This window comes from Homo sapiens, chromosome 8 (assembly GCF_000001405.40).
Source record: "Homo sapiens chromosome 8, GRCh38.p14 Primary Assembly".
NCBI lineage: Eukaryota > Metazoa > Chordata > Mammalia > Primates > Hominidae > Homo > Homo sapiens.
Genome location: NC_000008.11, coordinates 21,466,123 through 21,487,238, shown reverse-complemented (window position 1 = coordinate 21,487,238; position 21,116 = coordinate 21,466,123). Strand labels below are relative to the sequence as shown.

General features: G+C 46.9%; 1 annotated feature.

Moving 5' to 3' along the window:
* Window positions 20,664-20,834: a silencer, noted in NCBI's record as "fragment chr8:21323916-21324086 (GRCh37/hg19 assembly coordinates)". NCBI's record gives its function as "represses an EF-1alpha promoter that drives an FKBP-Casp9 reporter gene in an ReSE screen in HepG2 liver carcinoma cells {active_cell/tissue: HepG2}" and the evidence as "EXISTENCE:reporter gene assay evidence [ECO:0000049][PMID:32094911]".

Here is a 21,116-nt window from a genome sequence, read left to right as displayed (position 1 = left end):
ACCAGCAATTTGCCTGGGGTGGGACTTTCCCACGTTATTCTAATAACCAGCCAGGACTGAGAATCATTGATGTAGTGAAAACAATTCATGTTTTGGAGTCAGACAAATGAGACTTTGAACTAGCTGCGTGTCCTTGAGCTTCAGAGATTTTTTTTTTTTGTCTGTAAAAATGAGGTTAATCAAAGCTGCATGGTGCGTCTGTGATGTTAAAATGAGATCATGTGGGTGACGGGGCTTGGTATCTAGTCAGGGCTCAGAAAAAGTTAGATTCCCTTTTTTCCTTAGATGTGAGTGCCTGTGGGCCTGAGAATCTGGAAGACTGCAGGGGTCTGGTGGTTTAAGCCAAAGTGAATTCTTCTCTGAGCACTGATAGGATTGCCCATAAGAAGAAATCATCTCTTCAGCCTTCTCATCCTCCACAGGAACAGAAGGACACGTCCCAAGTGGCGAGCTGTGCAAGGCCACAGACACAGTGAGTGGGCTAGGAGGGGCGGGGCTGAGGGTGGAGGTCCTGACCGCTTGATTTCCAACCACACCTCGGTTCACTCCACTCGGGAGAAACTTGCCATTTCTGTCCCACTGTGAGGAGCCTTGTCGCTTTTGCTCATTTCCTAGGGCACCTGAGCCACAGTTTCTTGGGAGACATGATGTCCCTAGAAGCAGGGAACAGTGGTGTGACATGGAGCTTTTTTAATTTTTTTTTTCTGGAGATGGAGTCTCACTCTGTCGCCCAGGCTGGAGTGCAGTGGTGTAATCTTGGCTCACTGCAACCTCTGCCTCCTGAGTTCAAGAGATTCTACTGTATCAGCCTCCTGAGTAGCTGGGATTATAGGCATGCACCACCATGCCTGGCTAATTTTTGTATTTTTAGTAGAGAAGGGGTTTCACCATGTTGGCCAGGCTGGTCTCAAACTCCTGACCTTAGGTGATCCACCTGCCTTGGCCTCCCAAAGTGCTGGGATTACAGGTGTGAGCCACCGTGCCTGGCCAACATGGAGCTTTTAACTCGCTTTCTTGAATCTTCTTACCGTAACAGTCAAGGTCTTCCTGGTTTCACCCAACCTCTTTATGTGTCCAATCTTCCCTTCTTGAAACCCACACAATGCAGCTACACTGGGGTACTCCAAACCCCGCAACAGGCCCCCTCCTTCCTTCTCTGAGCATCTACTCGTGTTGTTTTTTCCCCCTTTCCTATGACATCTGTAACTCACCACCTCCAGAAAGCCAAAAAAACAATGCTTCCCTCTGTATGAATCCTTTTTTGAAATGCCTTCCTGTGGAGAAATGATGATGGTAGTGTGTATATCTTGCAGGGTGCAGGCCACACAGCCGTGTTTTGTTATTTAATGGTATCTCTGTCTCATCCCCATTACTGGACCACCAATGAGGCAGGTGTAGTGGAAAGAATTAGGACTTTGGCATCAGGGCACACCTGGGTCTGAATTTCATCCCTGTCACTTATTAGCTTTGCAATCCTAGGAGAATCATTTAGATTCTCTAAGCCTCTGTTTACTCATTAATTAAAATGAAGAAATAATTCCTATTTCTCAGGGCTGATGTGAGGATTAGTTTGATACATATTTATGAAAGACTCTGGCAAAGAAATGTTTTCATAGATGCCTGTAAAATGATTAAATGAATTGATATAAACTATATGGCATGATGTTTGAAAAAATTGCTCTCACTTTCCTCATCGTTAAAACTCGCATTTTGGGAGTGGTGATGGTGAGGAATATATGGATTCTTTTCCAGATGTTCAAATCACAAGATATGGGTCTAGGAAACCAAACTAAACTTTCAGTGGCTACTACAAAGCCTGCACCATTGTCTTTTCACATGACATCCTTAATACAACCCCATGTGGTGGGGATTATTTTTTCGGAAAGACAGGATTCTAATCTTGGCTTTGCCAGTTACTGATGGGCTTTGGCAAAATGGTTTGCCTGCTCTGAACCTTAGTTTGCTAATGTATGTAATGGGCAAGGATTCCACTCACACATGACTTCTATCCTCAGTAGAACGAATGCAAAGTTCATATGATAGCGCCTGGCATGTGGTTCGCACTCTACATAGGACAGTTCTATGGCCATCCTTATGACAATATTTGTACAATGAATAGTGTGTTAGCATCACGCATGGTTTGTGGCTAGCATGAGCAGTATTGTTATTTCAACCGTAGTAATTCTGTGCCACTTCCAGCCATCTTCCTGCTATATAACCCTGCCCTGGGCAGCCTGTCTTAACCCCAAGATTGCAGCATCACTGAGCAGGACCTTGTCATGGGCATCCATATTGCATCTGTTCAGAATTCTTCGAATTTGCCACGAGGAAAGCTCTGTCCACCCCTGTGTTTTGCAGAATCGGGCCTCACTCCCCTCTGGCAAATCCCCATCCGACTCTATATCCCTTATCAACCTGCTGATCACCTCTCATTTGTCATCTTTATTAGCTTTTAATCTCCCATCAGTTTAGTGCTGGAGTTTAAGAGTAGGATTAGAGGGGGGAATTTAATTGGATGATCCTCCATGGCCCCTTGAACATCAGATTCAATAAAAGTTTATGAAAAGATAAAATCGCAAAGGGTTTTATAGCCCCGGACAGAGCAAGAGACCGGTGCGAGAACAAGGTAACTGTTTTTCAACCCATATAATCCGTGTTTCAACTTGATTAAATGAGGAAGTTAGTTTTCCATCTCTCTCTCTCTTCCTCCCTCTCTTTCCATGGGCAACATTATCCTTTTCCTCCTGGCGTAAGCAAGAAGCCACTTTCTGCCAGGCGCCTCTCCCCTCTTGCTTTGATTTTCCCTGACAGGAAGACTAATGAAACCTGGGTGCACCAGAAAATAACATTTATTTCATGCAGAAATATGCTGAACCACAACTGAAGGTGGCTGAGGTGATCATTTGATGGGAGAGAGACTGGTTTTCAAGAGGGGAAATTGTGGTTCATGAAGATGAAGGGAGGAAAAGTGTTCCTCCCCGTGAAGTCCCTCCTATCTCAAACCCATCTTTCCCCAGACTTCCGCTCTCTGCTTAGACCATTTCGCTTCTGGTTCAGGCAACCAGAGCGTAAGGGGTGGGCTGGCATGTGGAGTCATGTGTGAATTCGTTCATTGATTAATTCAACAAATATTTTTTGCATGCATTTTACATGCCAGCCACTGTGCTACACAGGGAGGATAGAAAGGTGAATAAGACCTCACTGTGCTCTCAAGAGGGCAGAGTCTGTGGGGGAGATGGACAGTGTGAGAGGAAATTTTTTTTTTATTTTTACAGCCACCACTTTGATCTAAGGAAGTGATGACCTTTGGTGGGTTTTTTTTTTTTTTTTTTTTTTTTTTTTTTTTGTATTGATGTGATTCTACAGTGAGTTTGGCTGTCAGACCTAGGATGAGGAAGTGATCTGCACAATGAGAAGTGAAGAATTTGGGGCTCTTGGTGGAAATCTCGGTGGGTGTGAGGGGGATGGGAACAAGAAAAGGGAGAAGGTGGGGAGAGGGTAGAAATGGAAGCCAATGAATGAGTGTTAATCTTTGGGTTGAAGATTCTGGGGTGAAGATGTAATAAAACGTTCCAGGTGTGGATAACTGAAAGACGTTTAAAGAATAATCCACAATACTCATCGGTGCTTTGTGTGAATATTTATTTATTTACATGCAGTCTTTCACTTAGGGCAATAAAGGTAAAAAGCCCAGAATCATTGGTGACTAGGAGAATGCAGCTTCCCAGGAAGTCATAAAAATCCAAAAGTGGGCTTGAGATTTCCACTGGCCAAGAACTGGGGCCCAAGCCAATCTTAAAGGGACTCAGGTGACCCCAGAAGATGTGTAATTTACATAACTCGTATTGAATACCAGATGCAATAATGACAGTGGTACTAGGTAAAACCGGAGCTCGAAGGAGGGAGTGATTAGTCCACTTGGGGAAGGGAGGTGTGGATGGGCATCAGATAAGACTGCATAGAGGGGGCTGAGCTTGAGTTGGGCCTTGAAGGATGGGCAAGTGTTTGCTTGATGGATGGAATGGAAATAGAGGTGGGGCACAGGGCCCCTCAAGAAGAGGAGGTATACAGCAAGATAGCTTGGAGGCCAGGGAGCCAGAGGGATGTGAGGGGGGATATGAGAGGCTGTAGATACCAGCATCTGGGAAGGGGATGGTGGTGTAGTCACGGTGGCGTGGGTCACGAAAGACCTCTGATGTCAAGTAAAGGAGCTTGGATGTTGGTTGTTGGTGGAGGACTGCTGAATAATTTTGCTTATAGTAGGATGGAGTAACATTTCATTTCAGGGTAAGCCCCCTGGCTCAGTGTGGAGGATGACTGAGGGAGAGGGTGACACTGGAGTCAGGGGGACATATCTAGGGACAATGGCCCAGGGGAGACACAATGGAGGCCTGAACAGAGGTGGTCATAGAGTGGACTGGAGGGAATGGGCTGCAGGAGTGCTTTGAACAGAAAACAGAAAAGCTTTGTCACTGGTGGAACGTGGGGGCAGGGGATGGAGGAAGAAGTGTATCACTCCAGGCCTGTGGACGGGGTGCCTGGTGCTGACTTGTGTGTTCTCTGGGAGAGGGGATTCAGGGGCATGTTTAGATATTTGCAGAAATGCCTCAGTTGTGGATGTGTTGAGATTTAGGTGTCTGTGGGAAGATATGCTTGAAGCCACGTGAGTGAATGAGATGGTCCCGAGAGAAGGTATTGGGTAGTAAAAAGAAAGGAGAGAGGAGGGTAGGAAAGGAAGGGAAAGGGAAAGGAAACATGACCCATGGTTTTCCGGCATCTTTGAATGTTCTAGGACCCTATCTGCTTCCACCCGCCTGTGGATGGGGATGTTTAAGAGGTCTTGTGGATGGAAATGGAGAATGACTTCACATGTTGGCAGACATGTGGGGCATGGGGTAGGGGTCTGTGTGCCCTGCTCCTGATGGCTGGGCAGGGCAGGGTGCCCCTCCCAAGCCAAGCCCACTGTGCCACCATGTGGTTCCAAGTGAGAGTAATTTGGTTTGGGAGCCAGATGTTTGACTGGACCTTTTAGAGAAGGGGTGGATCCAGGCTTTATGGAGCTTCAAACTTGCATGATCTTTGAAGGAAAAAAAAATACGTTGTGCATATGAAATTGGATACTGGACTTGGAAGGGGTAGTGAGGATCTCTGAAGCTTAAGTTTCACTAGTTTTATGATAAATTCCCTTTTGTTTGGGAGACTTCCAGAAAGCTTAGGAAAGGCATGTGTGTACTTAGTGTGTGAGTGTGTGAGTATGTGTATGTGTATACTTCATAAATGCTGCTGACTTTTTGAACTCATCGGGAGGATGAGCTAGGATAAGTGAGAATGCAGGCCTGGTACTTCCTAAATCTCATGCTACCTAGCACGGAGCTCACAAAAATACGAGTCCTAAGAGCGTGCGTTGGGCACGTGGCCTGGGTGTCAGCTGGAACATCCAGCCTTTAAGGTCTAGGAGAGGTTGACATGAACTCCATGCCATGGAGGTCCATATTTTGGGGAGAGCCCGATGCTTTCCTCTGTAAGCTCCAGAAGGACTTACGTCTTCATGAACCCTTTCACTTCTGAGCTTGTGCTGCCACCAAATTAGTTACAGATCTTCTCACTGTCTCTGTTGCATTCTGCGTTGACTCAGATGTGGAACTCATCCTCCTGCTATGATTTATAAACACACTCCTTCACTCATACCCACAAGGTCTTTATGTATGAGGCAGACTTCACTGAATAAAGGATGGATATATTAAGTAACACAAACAATTAGCATTGCATATGAGCGATTGTGAATGCTTATTCCTTCTGCCATTGCTCTAGACCTTCCCCTCTTCTTTCCTTCTCTACTTTCTCCTCTTCTATTCCTAACTCTTGTTCCTTGCAGCTTAGTGACCCCTTTAGTTTCCTGATTCCTATTAGCCAGTGCCCTCCCAGGTCATGTGTGTTAACTGACTGTTGCCATGTAACAAATCATGCCAAAATTCTGTGTCTTAAGCAATAGTCATTTATTATTTTGGATGAGTCTGTGCTTCAGTGGAATGGGCCTGCTGATTGTGGCTAGACTCAGCTGATCTTGGCTGGGCTTGTTTATGCTCAGGTTGTTGACTGGTGGATGTTTGTGGGGGTGCCTGGTATAGTGCGGATCCCCTGTTAACCTCAGGAGGAAAGGCACCAGGCTCCAGAGCTGGAAGAAGAGACCCAGAACCAGCAACAAGATGAGACGTTTTTCTTTTTCTTTTTTTTTGGAGTCTTGCTCTGTCACCCAGGCTGGAGTGCAGTGGCACGATCTCAGCTCACTGCAACTTTTGCATCCTGGGTTCAATCAATTCTCCTGCCTCAGTCTCCCAAGTAGCTGGGATTACAGGCATGCACCACCATGCCAAGCCAATTTTTATATTTTTTGTAGAGATGAGGTTTCACCATGTTGGCCAGGCTGGTCTTGAGCTCCTGACCTCAAGGGATCTCCCTGGCTCAGCCTCCCAAACTGCTGGGATTACAGGTGTGAGGAGACTTGGGGTTTTATTAGGGGCTTACATACAGGGGAGAAAGCCCAGTGGCGGTGGGCTAGAAAAGGTAATTGCATGGCGTAGCAGTGGCAGATGGGGCAGGAAAAACATATGGCTCCCTGGTGGGTGGGCTGTGTAGGAAAACGACAAGCTCTTGCAAACGGCATGTGGTTTATGTAGCATTTTCACTTAATACCCTCCCCCTAATGACCTCTACCTGGCACCCTTCATTTAACCCAAAATTCAGGGCCTCAATCCCCTGTCTGGCCCATGTTCCACAGGAAGGGCCAGGAGCTTAGTAAATATTCCTCATAGACAAGGAATGCATCTCCAGGTTGGCTGGGTCTGGATTCCCTAGCTCGAAACACGTATTCAGGTGCGTCTGCCATACAGGGTCATTCCAAGGGTATGCTGAAGTTATTGGTGTCAGGTGTGTTTACCCTACAGCTGGTCTGGGATGGCCTTGAGCGGTAGGACCCACCTCCTGCCATGGGTCTTCCATATCTCTCCAGAAGGGTACTAGCCTCTGCCGGGGTCTCCTGTACCTCTCCAGTTATGTTCTGGGTGGGGCAGGATTGAAGAGAGCGGAAACATGCAAGCGTCTTTTTCAGACCTCTGTTTGCATCAACTTTGCTGTCATCCCCTTCACATGGGCAGGTTGTGTGGCTCAGCCCAGAGTCAGTGTGGGAGGCACTACCCAAGGGCATGGAGGCAACCGCCGTGAAACGCCGAGGGTGCTACTACAATCCATCTATCACACCGTGTCTTTCAAGAAGTATTTTTCTAAGCAAAGACTGTTCCTTCTCTAAGAGGCATCCTGGTTCCAGCTGTTAAGACAATAATTTGTTTCACTCTGCTACATCTGGCCCCTGCCTTGCATCTTATTGAGCAATAACATCACCCAGGGTGTGACATTTTATAAGGGCTTTAGCATTTCCACATGAAAAGGACATTTTCGTAGATCATTTATTTACTTTCCCAAATTTTATGGGCAGGTCTAACCTTTCTTTATTTTCAAAGGGTTCTGCTTAATTTCCAAGAGACCCTTGAATGGAGGAAAGTAGTGAACCTGAGTTACTGTGTCATTGCTTAAGATCTGATGGCCAAAAAGAGAAACTGAGGCAAGGAGAAAAATCCTGGTGATTCTGAATTCAAACATGATTAAGCCACACATGTTCCCTGAATTGGCACGAGGACACACTGGTCATCCATTTTCAGCGCAGGGTCTCAGAGTAGCTGCCTGTTTGGGGAGCTGGGGGGGTTGACAGTCAAGGCACCTTCCTCACTACTCGCATTCTAGAGGGAAGATTAGAGATGGGATGGGGTGGTTGTGTTCTGTGTCCCTCCCTTTGCCACATCCCCTCTTAACCTGTGTGAGTGTGTGTATGTGTGGGGGTGGTGTGTGTGAATTCACATGTCTGCACACACACATATCAACATACCTCAGGGTTCTCTGCTGAGAGAGATGCAGCTTTGACAGTGCTTTGCACTGCTTTGTATTAAACCAGATAATAGGGGAAATGATTAGGGCCTTTCAGAGCAACCACCTGACAATAGTGCGAGGTGAATGTGGGCTGATTGGAGCTCCGTTTACCACTTCCTGATAGCAGAGAAGGGCAGGCCAGGGGTGGCCCAGCACCTGCGTTTTGCAGAACTGGTTCCCAGGATGAACTCTTCCTTCTCCTTCCTCCTCCCCGACTCCCCCAGGGACCTCTGGGTTGGTTAAATTTAGTGTTCTGGTGTATCCAAATCCATGTGATTTCTTCCAGGACCGTGCATTTAAATGTCACCCAGACTGCAAAATTACCAACACATCAGGCTGACAGGGGTTGTTTAAAAGCCGTGTGGCTGTGAAGGAAGCAAAGAGGCGGGGTCTCCAGAAGATGAGAGAAGAAAGAAAGGAAAGGGAAGCCTGGGGAGAGGATGGTTGGGCTTCTTTCTTCCAAAGTCCCCCCAAAACCAGCCCCAGTGAAGTCAACCAGGAAATGTCCTCTTCAAACAAACGCTGAGAAAATAAAAATGAAATCGGAGGTGGGAGTGGCTGCTTGTCATAACCCCCTTCCCCGTCTTCCATCACCTTTCCACTCGGCATCTCCGTAGGGTTGCTGATAGACTCGGAGTGTTCTCCTGGGCACAGGGGGGTCTGGGGTCATGGTGGCATGGTATAAACAGCCATGAAGTTAAGCCACTGGGGCACACACCTGTGCTTGGCCACTTACCAGCTGTGAGATCTGGGACTCTCCATTTCACTTTTCTGAACTTTGGTTCTTCACTTTGTTAAATGGGGATCATTGTCTTTGCTCTGCCCACTTTGCAGGGGTGTGGTGAGGATCACATGACATGAGGTATTAAAAAAAACCCTTCAAAATAACTCATATGGGTTCTGGCACTGAAAGGGGTCTGTGCCACTGCCCAGATGGAGGTGAATGGACATTTCTAGAGAGAGAGAGGCACACAGCACCTCAGCCCTGGAGCAAGGCTTATGGAATGAAGCCCAACCAGGGGCTTCATGGAAACCATAAAGGGACATTTAAGATGCCATTTGGAGGCAGCACCGAGGCCTGAATGACTTCAGGTTGAGGGTCCTTGCTTTAGTATCAAGGTGGTTTGAAACCCTAAGAAAGGTCCTATGTCCAGCTGCCTCAGCTTTCTCATCTGTCAAGTGGGAGAATGACCATATACCAGCCTCATGGGGTCCGTGTGAGATTTAAATGAACAAATAAGTGCCTAACTGGTGCCTAGAAATAATAAGCCCTCAGTCAATATTGTCTACTATGATATCTCTTTCCTAGGGTCTCCTGCTTTGCGAGTCTGGAGTTCTTTCTAGAAAGATTTTTATATGATGATTGCAGGAACTTGAATTAACACATGTAATGTTTCTAGCCCGTGGCTGGGCATGAAGCTCAAGATATGCTGATTCCTGTCCCTTTTTCTTCACATTCTACCTCTCATCTTACTGGTCCATGAGATTTTACTCTGTGGGTAAAAGCCAGAAGAGAGGATGCAAAAAGATCCCAATGAAAAAAATAGATCAGTGAGCTATTGTTACCACTCCATGACACTTTGTTCAGAACTCTTCTTCATGCATTTTTGGGCCTGATGAGAAAGAAATCCCATCAGGAACATCCACCAGTCATCATCCTCCACATACAAACCTTGGGGGGAATTCACCTCTCTGGGCCCCAGTTTCCCTATTTATAAAATGAGGTCATCACCAAGGGACCTTCTAGCAAGTCATGATACCTTTGACTTCAGTGCTCCCAGCCAACGCCAGGCCCCAGCCCCTTTCCATGATAGTATCACTGCTATTTTATTTCTTTTTCTCTTTGTTTCTTCACCTTGGACATGCCAAGTGTTTATGGCATTTCTGAGAATCCAATAAACTGCATTATTGGGAGGAGATGGGGAGTAACAAACATAGGCAAAAATCTGCTATTTTCACATGAATGCTTTAGGCAATCAGCCATGATGGGAAATGAAATGTGTGGAAAAATACAGGGTGAATAAAGAGGGCTTTAGTGAGATGATGAGGCGTTTATGTTCGTGCCTGCACATGACTGCTGTCGATCCGTCAGCCCAGCGGCTGCAGCGCAGCCTGCGACGGCTTCTGCCGTGGAGGTCTGGCTCCCAATCCTCCTCTGCAGGTTGGGTTTCGATGTGGAACAACCCATAGTTATTTATCAAAGTTCCAGTAAGGATCAAGTGAGGAGAGCAAGGGCGAGAATCCCTGCAGGAAGGGACCCAGATCAGGCATCAGGAGTTGCTTCTGTCAATTACAAGCTCTTGAGAGACCTTCCTTGGGGAAACGAGGGAGTCTGTCCTGCTGACTAATGTGGTGGAAGGGACTAATGTGGTGGAAGGGACATTCAAGGTGCCCTTTGGAGGCAGCACCCAGGCCTGAATGACCTCAGGTTGAGGGTTCTTGATTCTGTATCAAGGTGGCTTAGCGTAAGTTCTGCAAATGTGAGAATTAAGAGGCGTGTTCAAGTTATAGCTGGAATCCTGACCTGTTGTGTGATGTTAGACAGCACGACCAATCTCCCTGCTCCTCCGTTGGGTGTCACCGATTCAGACACTAACGCTCATGCATTTTACAAATAGAACAGTGCCTGTGTATTTTCACTGTAGGCATAGATTGTTTTTTTTTTTTAATTAGGAGTCTTAATTTTTTAGAGCAGTTGTAGGTTTAAAGACAAATTGATCAGAAAGTACAATGAGTTCCCATATATTTCCTCTCCCCTTCACTCAGTTTCCCCTATTCACATCCTGCATGGGTGTGGCACATTTGTTACAGTCGATGAGGCAATATCGATACATTGTTATGAACTGAAATCCATGGTTTATATTATAGTATGGGAACAGTCTTTGTGTTGTATAATTACACAGTGTAATTATCCTGTATCCACCATTCCAGTGTTACATAGAATATATATATCCTGTATCCACCATTCCAGTGTTATATAGGATATATATATCCTGTATCCACCATTCCAGTGTTATATAGAATAATTTCATTGTCTTAAAAATCCTCTGTGCTCCACCAATTCATCCCTTTCTCCCCTCCCCACAAACTCTCAGCAACCACTAATCTTTTTACTGTCTCTATAATTTGTCTTTTTTTTCCAGGAAGTCATATAGTCTGATTCATACAGTATGTAGCCTTTTCAAACTGACTTTTTGCACATAGTAATACATATTTAAGGTTTCTCCATGTCTTTTCCTGGCTTGACAGTTCATTTCTTTATATTGCTAAATAGTATGGCATTGTATGCATATACCGCAGTCTGTTTATCCATTCACCTACTGAAGGACATCTTAGTTGCTTCCAAGTTTTGGCAATTATGAATAAAGCTGTCATAAACATTCCCGTCCAGGTTTTTGCGTAGACCTAAGTTTTCAACTCAATTGAGTAAATACCAGGGAGCGTGATTGCTGGATCATATGGTAAGAGTATATTTAGTTTTGTAGGAAACTGCCAAACTGTCTTCTAAAGTGGCTTTGCCATTTTGCGTCCCCACCAGCAATGAGTGAGAGTTCCTGTTGCTCTATATCCTCCCCAGCATTTGGTGTTGTCAGTGTTTTGGATTTTAGCCATTCTAATAGATGTGCAGTGGTATCTTGTTTTAATTTGCCGTTCCCTAAGGACATATGATGTTGAGCAAATAGGAAGAGTGCCTATGTATTTTCACTCTAGAAATAGTTTTAACAAGCTCATTTATCTGTTTATATTTTTTCTTCCAGCTAGTAGGAAATCAGAAGTGTGTGTGTGGTAGAACATGAGAAGGAGGCCCACAGCTGATAGGAGCAGAGAGCCCCATGCTGAGCATAAGAAGACCTGGTCTTCTTGGTTACCCTAACTGCTTGACCTTAGGAAATCAGCTCATCTCTGGAGCTCAGTTTCCTCGCTCTGGAAATGTGTGGCTTGTACTATATCAAGGTTATGAAATGCTTCTTAGGCCAATGCCCTCCAATTGGAGTGACAGCCTGAGATGGGAAGAGGCTACTGGGGGAGTAGCTTGTCCTGGCTGAGAGGTGCTGACTTCCATGGCAAAGACTGCAGGCGGGGGCACCTGTGACACAAGCACATTCTCTTCTTGAGAATGAGTTCTAACTTTCCCTCCTGTTTATAATTCCATGCAAGTTTAAGAGACCACTGAGAGCCTAACAGAAAGAAAGGAAAGGTAGCTTTTTTTTAAGACGGAGCCTCGCTCTGTCACTCAGGCTGGAGTGCAGTGGCGCAATCTCGGCTCACTGCAAGCTCCGCCTCCCAGGTTCACACCATTCTCCTGCCTCAGCCTCCCAAGCAGCTGGGACTACAGGCGACCACCACCATGCCCGGCTAATTTTGTTTTGTATTTTTAGTAGAGATGGGGTTTCACTGTGTCAGCCAAGATGGTGTCAATCTCATGACCTCGTGATCTGCCCGCCTCAGCCTCCCAAAGTGCTGGGATTACAGGTGTGAGCCACTGCACCTGGCCAAGGAAAGCTAGTTTTAAAAACACTGACACCATGGCTTAAAAACCTCCAGGCTGGGTGCAGTGGCTCATGCCTGTAATTCCAGCAATTTGGGAGGCAGAGGCAGGAGTATTATTTGAGGCCAGGAGTTCAAGACCAGGCTGGGCAACACAGTGAGACCCCATCTCTACAAAAAATGAATAAAATTAGCCAGGCATGGTTGCATGCGACCATAGTCCCAGCTACTCAGGAGGCTGAGGAAGGAGGGTGGCTTTGGCCGAGGAGGTAGAAGCTGCAGTGAGCTACGTTCACACCACTAAACTCTAGCCTGGGTGACAGAGCAAGAGCCTATCTCTAAAAAATAAAAACAAAAACAGCCTCCCTAGAGTAGGTGCAGCCTGGGTTGCAAAGTCAGCAGGACTCACAATTATCAGTGGCTGGAACCTGACATTCCAACATTCCCTGTCTGGCCCTTGAGCTCTGCCTGGGAGGAGAGAAATTTCATCTACTCCTCCCCCTATCTCCAGAGCTGGACGTGCCTGGCATAGCAAAATGTTTCCCTTAGGTTGAGTGAGCATCTTGCAGGCCCTTTGTTCTAGGCACTGGGGACACAGCAGGGAGCAGAGACAAAATTTCCTGTCCTCACGGGGCTTCCATCATGGTGATGTGCATGAACAACTCCCTCAAAATTAATTTGCACTCTATATTCAGCTTCAGAAAATGGTGTCATCCTATTTAGGAAAAGGTCTACTCAGTGAAAATGAAATGAATTTGGGATCTACAAAGGTGAACTTCAGTTATCTGGGAACATCTCATAACATGAAGGTGCTAACCCAGCGGTGATGAAGGCTTTATTATGATTTTCTCCCTGGGGGCTTTCAAAAAGGCAGCCGGTGAGGAGTTTGGCTGCTGAGTTTCTCCTCTCATTAACGCCTCAGCCCTGCTCCTCTCATTAACACATGAGGCCCTGCTCCAACTCCAGCCTGGTACCCAACAGGGCTCGAGAAACCTTTGAGGTCCCAGTGGCTCTGAACTCTGAATCCTTCGAAGGCGTCCCACCCATGCACTCCCTAGCAAGGTCCCAGGGAGATGATTAAACACACTTGAAAGCCGAGTCATTTTCCTAGATTAAGAGTTGTGTGTAAGGAGTGGAAAAAGTCTGAGAAGCGAGGAGATGCTTATCAGGTTTGTGCACTGGTCAACTCCTCTTCCTTCTTAGCTGAATGCTTTGGTAATGGCTTTCTTCATGGTAGAGGGAAATAATTTCTCTTTTCTCATCCTGAAAACTTCCTGTGAGTAGCGACCTCACCCCCATCAGGAGAGGCAAGAGAAAGGCTTCAGATAACGGATCTACTGCCCTGAAAGGTCTGGGAAGTCCAGGCAGCTCATGAGTCCCTGCAGGGTCTCTGGGGGCTCTTGTGCCTGTCCTTGAGGATGGGACAAGAAGAGGCTGGAAAATGGTGCATGCAGAGCCATCAGAGAACTCAGTGCTCCTCAAGCTACGAGGAACCTATGAGCCACTTGGGGGCCATGTGCAGCTCCTGATTGGCAGGTGTGGGGTGGAGCTTATGGTTGTCATTTCTAAAGTGCACCCAGCTGGATGATGCTGCCGGTCCACAGACCACACATGGAGAAGTGAGGATCGAGTCACCTCTGATATTTTACAGGGGAGAGAATTGAGGTCTCAGGGAAGGGGAGGACATGGCCTGACCAAAGTCACCGAGCTGGGGAAGTGGAGGAGCTTGGCTAGATCCCAAGTTTCCAGAACCCCAGACCTGGTACATCTCATCTCCTCTTTGTGAAGCCAGGTAGGCAACACCCAATTGCAGGCATGCTTCAGAGGGAATTAAAGATCACTTGTATTTCTTTCCTGTACAAAGCCCACTTATTTTTTCCCCATTTACTCATTCAGACAACTAGAAATATTTATAAGACCCTCTAAATACCCTCCCTGAGCAAGGCACTACAGGAATGATAGGAATAGCAAGTTATGTATGAACTAGAAGGGGAGAAGTGACATTTATATGTAAAATACCTACAGTAAAAGAAAAGTAGTTGACTCAGAGCTGATGGCATGTCATAGACCCTACATTATCCAGGAGTCCAAAGGAGAGAAAGAGACCTTTGTGGCACGGTGGTCAGGGAGGGCTTCTTGGAGGAGGAGGCTAGCTCAGACTGGGCCTTTGAAGGCTGCATAGGTTTTGAAGAGATGGAGGGGAGAGAGGGGTGGGCTCTAAAGGTGCTCTGTCTGTCACTTAGGCCTCCCTTTTCACTGCATTGGGCTGTTCCCTTCCAACATTTTCTCTTTCTTCTCTGTCTATATCTTCTTCCTTCTATTCCCTGTTCTTCTTCCCCTTCCCTCCTTCCCTCCCTTCCTTTCCTTTCTTTTCCTTCCTTCCTTCCTTCCTCCCTCCCTTCCTTCCTCCCTCCCTCCCTCTGTCCTTCCCTCCCTTCCTTCCTCTGCTTGTGGTCTCATTTCCACTTCACAGTAGAATATAAGTAGAAAATAAAGGGCTTATAATCAAATATCTTACCTTACCTGTTTATCTCAGCAATCCAGTGAGAAAGTCAGCTCTGTGGGTTATGCCCATTTAACAGGTAAGAAGAGAGAAGTTCAGATTAGGAACTGAGGGCTTTCTTAGGATGCCTGATTTTCACTGTTAAAACCAGGACAATCTTGATCATCCTAATCATGTGCTCACTTACCAGTACTTTGGGATCATGTCTCTGGCCTGTTGGGCAGGGTCAGTGAGGTCATGGGGTTACTGTTAGGGTAGGTTAGTCAAGTTCTCTGCCTTTCCCTCTAGGAAGGGGAGCTGGCCACATATCCCTGGAGGATGGGTGCAGAAGAATGTGACTCAGAGCCTGTCTGCAAGCACAAGCGGGAGCAGTGTTGCCATTGCGCCTGTTCCCTGACTCAGCCCTGGTGTATCCTCTGCTTTGAACTTGAGCAATCCAGCTTTCTGTCTTCTCCTTTTCAATCCTGCAAGGACGCTTGGCCTTCTGAGGCATTGAGGTTTCCCCTCTTTGCTGACACTACTCAAGAACTTTTGCCTCCTAACATGAACAGGACAACTATTAGTACGAAGTCCTGTTCTCTTAAAAGGACTTAAACTTGGGTATACACACACGCACACACACACAAACACACACACACACACATATATATATATAGTCTAGGCAGGGACTTTTGCATGTAACCATTATGCATGGGATGGATACAGAACTCAGATTTGAATAGTTCAGAATCTATTTTTGGTCAGGACTCCCTAAGCTAGATGAATTCATCCTCAGAGTTTAGCTCAGCCTTCTTTTGGCTGCTTGAGAAGTTTCTGGCCTCACTATTCCTGGTGTTGCATAGTCATAGCCATGTGAATCTTGATTGCAAACCTGGATGTAAATATGAAAGCAACAGAAAGAACAAGGTCCTTGGCCTTTACCACACAGCCTCTCTCAGACCAGAGGAGAAGGACTGCTTGGGTTGAAAATCAAGAGATTAAAATTCTAGTTCTAGCTCTGCTGCCTGTTTAATCTTAGATAAGTCATTTCTTCTTCCAACTCCTCATCTTAAAGAATTGAACTAGATTGCCAGGCGCAGTGGCTCATGCCCGCCATCCCAGCACTTTGGGAGGCTGAGGCGGGCAGATCACGAGGTCAGGAGTTCAAGACCATCCTGACCAACACAGTGAAACCCCATTTCTACTAAAAGTACAAAATTTAGCTGGGCATGGCGGCAGGTGCCTGTAATCCCAGCTACTCAGGAGGCTGAGGCAGGACAATAGCTTGAACCTGGGAGGCAGAGGTTGCAGTGAGCCAAGATTGTGCCACTGCACTCCAGCCTGGGTGACAGAGTGATCCAGACTCTGTCTCAAAAAAAAAAAAAAAAAGGAACTTAACTAGATGTTTTCCAGGACCCAGCTTAGCTCTAGGAGTGCCCGATTTCTCTGACTTTGCAGGGAAAGCATCATGGTTACTGTTTAATGAGTTAGGCACTCATTTCCTTAGTTGTGTAGGTGAACAGGGTGTGACAGACTAGAAGCAGTGGTGCTAGATGCCAAGAGCCGACTGTCAGGGCAACAGGGTTAGGAGTGGAAGACACACTACTAGAAAAGCTAACAGCAATGGAAAAGTTGGGAGAAGCTACTTCTTAGCACAGCAGGGCGGGGTTTATTTTGTATCAGGGCAAATGGCTCTTCTAGGCTCAACAATCCCTGAGGACATCTCTAAGTTGACATTCAACATGTACTAAGCACTTCAGAGTTTCTGAAGCCCGTTCGCAGGCGTTACACCCTTGAATTCATCAACAAGTGTGAGATTGATGGGCACGCCATAGTTTTATAAATGAAAGTGAGGTCTAGAGAGATTTAAGGATGTGCCAATGCTAAGATGCAGAGGGACTCACCACAAGTCTTTTGGCTTTGGGCCCAGTGCCATTTCCACTACACCATAGCTGCCACCAACAGGATGGTCACAGTTATGATGGAGTTACCAACAATGGTCAGAGCAATAGGAGACTGTGCTTAGAATTATAAGCTTCAGTGATCTGGAAACTTTGCTCAGCCAGAATCCTTCTTTGATTTCAAACAAAGAGGTATAAATCAGGCATTCTTGTGGTTCTGTGTTTGCAATCAGTTACTGGTGAAGTCATTAAGACAGGAGTCACAAAGCACATACACAGCTGTGCCCAATACATCGTGCAGCCAAGTACACACAATAGGAGGCAGTTTAACAAGTAGGGAAGACATATACCTGCTCCTTCCGAGTTTCACCTGGAGGAAGAGTCTACAAAGAAAGGGAAGAAGGTTGCATCTGGTAACAGGTGGGGGCCTGTGCGGCTTGATAGCTTAACATGTATCAGGCGATACTCAAAGAGCTTTACAGGCATTCATTTATTTATGCTTTACAACCACTCCTTGAGGTAGGTACTACTCGTATCCCTGTTTTTGAAGAAGAGGAAACTGGGAAACAGAGAGGCAAGCTGAAAGAGACTGATCCTGTTTGATATGGTTTGGCTCTGTGTCCCCACTCGAATCTCATTTTCGATTGTAATCTCCAGCTTGTCAGGGGAGAGGCCTAGTGGGAGGTGATTGAATCATGGGGGCAGACTTACCTCTTGCTGTTCTCGTGACAGTGAGTTCTCACGAGATCTGGCTGTTTGAAAGTGTGTGGCACTTCTCCTTCATGCTCTCCCTGTCTCCTGCTCCACCGTGGTAAAGACGTGCTTGTTTCCTTTTCGCCTCTGCCATGATTCTGAGTTTCTTTAGGCCTTCCAACCATGCTTCCTGTAATGCCTGCAGAACTGTGAGTTATTTAAATCTCTTTTTTTCATAAATTACCCAGTCACAGGTAGTTCTTTATAGCACTGTGAAAATGGACTATAATACACTTGTTCAGGTGGGCAACTTCTGCCCTGGGTCATGTAGAGAGATGGACTTCTGCTTGGAGCTTGTCCAACATTTGAGTCCTGGGGCCACTTCTCTCTCCACCCTCCTCTTTCCTCCCCACTTCTCCCTCTCTTCCTTTCTTCCTTCCTTGCTTCTTTCTTCATTTCTTCCTCATTCCTTTATTTTTCTTCCTTCCTCATTTCCTGGGTGTCTAATAACGCCAATAACGATGCATAGTTCTAGGGTTGTATAAATGAGAAAAGCACTGCCTCTATTTTTAAGGGATTAAAAGCCTGCACAGGGCTTGGGAGTAGGGTAGAAGGTGCAGACGTGAACATCAGCAGAAATAAGTTCATTAGCTAATTTCCCTGTAAGAGAGAATGAAGATTATAGGAGAACAGGAGTGTGGGCCACCTGTAGCAGGTAGGTCAAGACAGAATGGATGTGAGAGGTGGTGGTGGGAAAACATCAAAGGGTACCAACAAGTTTGCAACTAAGCTCACGCTGGGCCTGCTGCAGCCTCTGTCAGCAACCCTCTTACAGGGTCTTCTTCCAAAGACACCAGGGGCCTGACACCTGGAAGGAGTTTGGAGCATGGACATCCATTGGTAGAGAAGGTGCTCATCGGCATGAGGCAGGCAGTATGCGGAAGAACTGTGCTTAGAAAGGAACTGGATTGAATGGTAAACTTTTCATGAGAGATAAGTTATGAAGGAAGTGGAATTCCCTCATGAGTCCCAAGGGCCATGGATAAAAGGCAGCCTTCCTGGCAATCTTTAGCACCTTTCATCAGTCAATTAATTCACAGACGTTTCTTAAACTCAGAGCAGAAGCAAACCAGTGTGCTAAGTACTGGGGAGAGGGCACAGGGAGGTAGAATACAAGCCCCTACCCACAGATAGGGGCAGTCTGACTGGGGAGATGAAGCAGCTTTGTTACTAGGTAATAGCTTTACAATGCACTGATCACCAGACATGCAGTGCAAATCATACATTTAGATTGTGCTCAGGATGGGAGGGATGAGAGTGCGCTGGGGTGGGCTGGGCTGGCAGGTGAGCAGGGAAGACTTCTTGAAGGAGATGGACCTTAAAGAAAGAGAAAGATTTGGCTGGTGGTAGAGGGGAGATTTGAGGCTGAGTAGCTGAGAAAGCAGTTCCTGCACCATTCCACAGGCTGAAGGATGCAGTGGAACCAGGGGAACAGCTATGTGCAGAGAGGTGTGGAGGAGGGATGCTTTAGAGATTCTCTCTCCCTCCTGGGCTAGTTAGGAAGGTCTGGGCTACCTTGCCTCCAGGGCCCATTGAATAGGACCTGATGTTCGGAATGCGGGATTGGAAAATATTCTTGGAAAAGAAGCCTAATCTGGTGGGAAAAATATTTGCTATTTTGCAAAGACTCAGAGGAGGCATTTCTTTCCCTTTTGCCATTCTCAGAGCAGAACCCTTCATGCCAATGCAGTGGCAGGACCACAAGTCTGAACGAGGGTCCGTGGATGCTTAATGGCCTTGGTGTTGAGACAGGCATTGACTTCTTTATTGTTGTCTCTGTCCTTCTGTTTCTCTGTGCTCCCCCCACCTCCAGCCCCCGCCACATGCCTTTGCTCAGGCTGTGCCTATGGTGCCTCCTACACCCCATTCCCTGACTTCCATGCTTCCAAACACCCTCCTTCCCAGCTTGCGGCCATCCGTCTCTCCTTGTGAGAGCCCCTGGCCCGGCATCTCTTGTAAGCATAGATCATTCTCAATCAGTCATTAGTCACCTGAAGAAAGCCTCATACACCCTATCAGACCGAGGGCCGGGAAAGCCCTTGGCACAGGCACCTCTACTTCTCTTACAGTGTCTAGCACAGACTTCTCACCCAGGGGGGACTCAATAGACCATTTGTCGAATGAGTCAGGAGGTTCAAAGAAAAATCAAGGGATTCAGAGTGAGCATGGTGCGTCTGGGAGAGTGAGATCTCTCTCTAGCCTTTTCCAGATGAAGATGACATTGCCACTGATTTTTGCACGTGGTCCCCCTATGATTTTCTCTCTGGGAAAATTTCGGCCCCTCTTTTTACTCCTGGGACCTCCAACTCCACAGTTCATTCTCTGTCCCTCTTACGATGATGATTTGGTGGGATTCTGATTCCAGGGCTCTAAGCTGTGTGCTTTCCTCCTGGCTCTCACACTTGTCTGCCACGATGAGGGGGACTGGTGGAGCTGAGAAATCCCCCAGGACTTGCACCACTCCCGGGCCAGCTGAGGAGTGTCGTTTTTCCATTTGTTCAGAGCACGGAGTGGGGGTGTGTGACTTGTCGGGGATCCAGACTTGCAGGGGAGTTCAGCTGTGGCCCTGCCCACCTGCCCTGTGACCTCGGGGCCTGTCACTGGACCTTTCTGGTGTTCCGTTCTGCTGATTTTCATAATGACGTTCGGTGTGAACTGAATATGCTACTAATGTTACCTCTTCTGGCCTGGAAGGAAAGACAGGAATCTGCTGGGCCTGCCTCGAGCTGGGGAAGGATCCTGGATGGGGATGGAACAGCTGAGAGATTTATACCAGCAGGTGGTTGCTGCGCCTGTGGAGATGTCAGCCAGATGCTGGTTCCTCTGCAGGGGGCGTACAGACTGGGGAGGGTGCAGAGATGGGCTGGAAGGGAGGAAAGGAATGGGGGGGTTCTCTCTCCTCTGTATAATAATCTGCTTCTGACGAGAAGCTTCTGTTCTTTTCCACTGGAAAGCTTTTAAGAACACTGAAAAGGACAGGCAATTATAGGAAGGTTAGGTGCGCTTGATTGGATGTTGTTACAAATCACTCATTGTCATACAAGGCATTTGGAAAGGAGGCCATCAGGACTGATTGCCGTTTAGGGTAAGTGATTTCTGTTTAGAGTGAGCGAGCAGATGAAGGCTTGGCTGGTGCTGGTTGTCCTCTCTCCCTGTTTGCTGTTGTGTTGATGGTTTTTCTTGGCAAGAAGGGTCCTTGCAGATGCTCACAGGATGTGTGGATGGGAAGAGGCTGGAGACCAGCCTTCTAATCCCATTCCCACCCCACCCTTCCCCCCATTACACTGATAGGGATACTGAGTGTAAGGAGAAGGGGAAAAGAGACTGGTCTAGCCACACACAGCAGGTCAGTGGAGACGCTAGACCAGAGTCCAGGTCCAGACCCCAGGCCAGTGTTCTTGCCTGTGGCCAGGCTCTGAGCTGACACTCCAAGGGGACTGGGTGTTTCTGTTAACACACCCCATGGACAGTTATGCAGGCTGAGCATACCTCACGTGGCAGCCCTTGAGGTT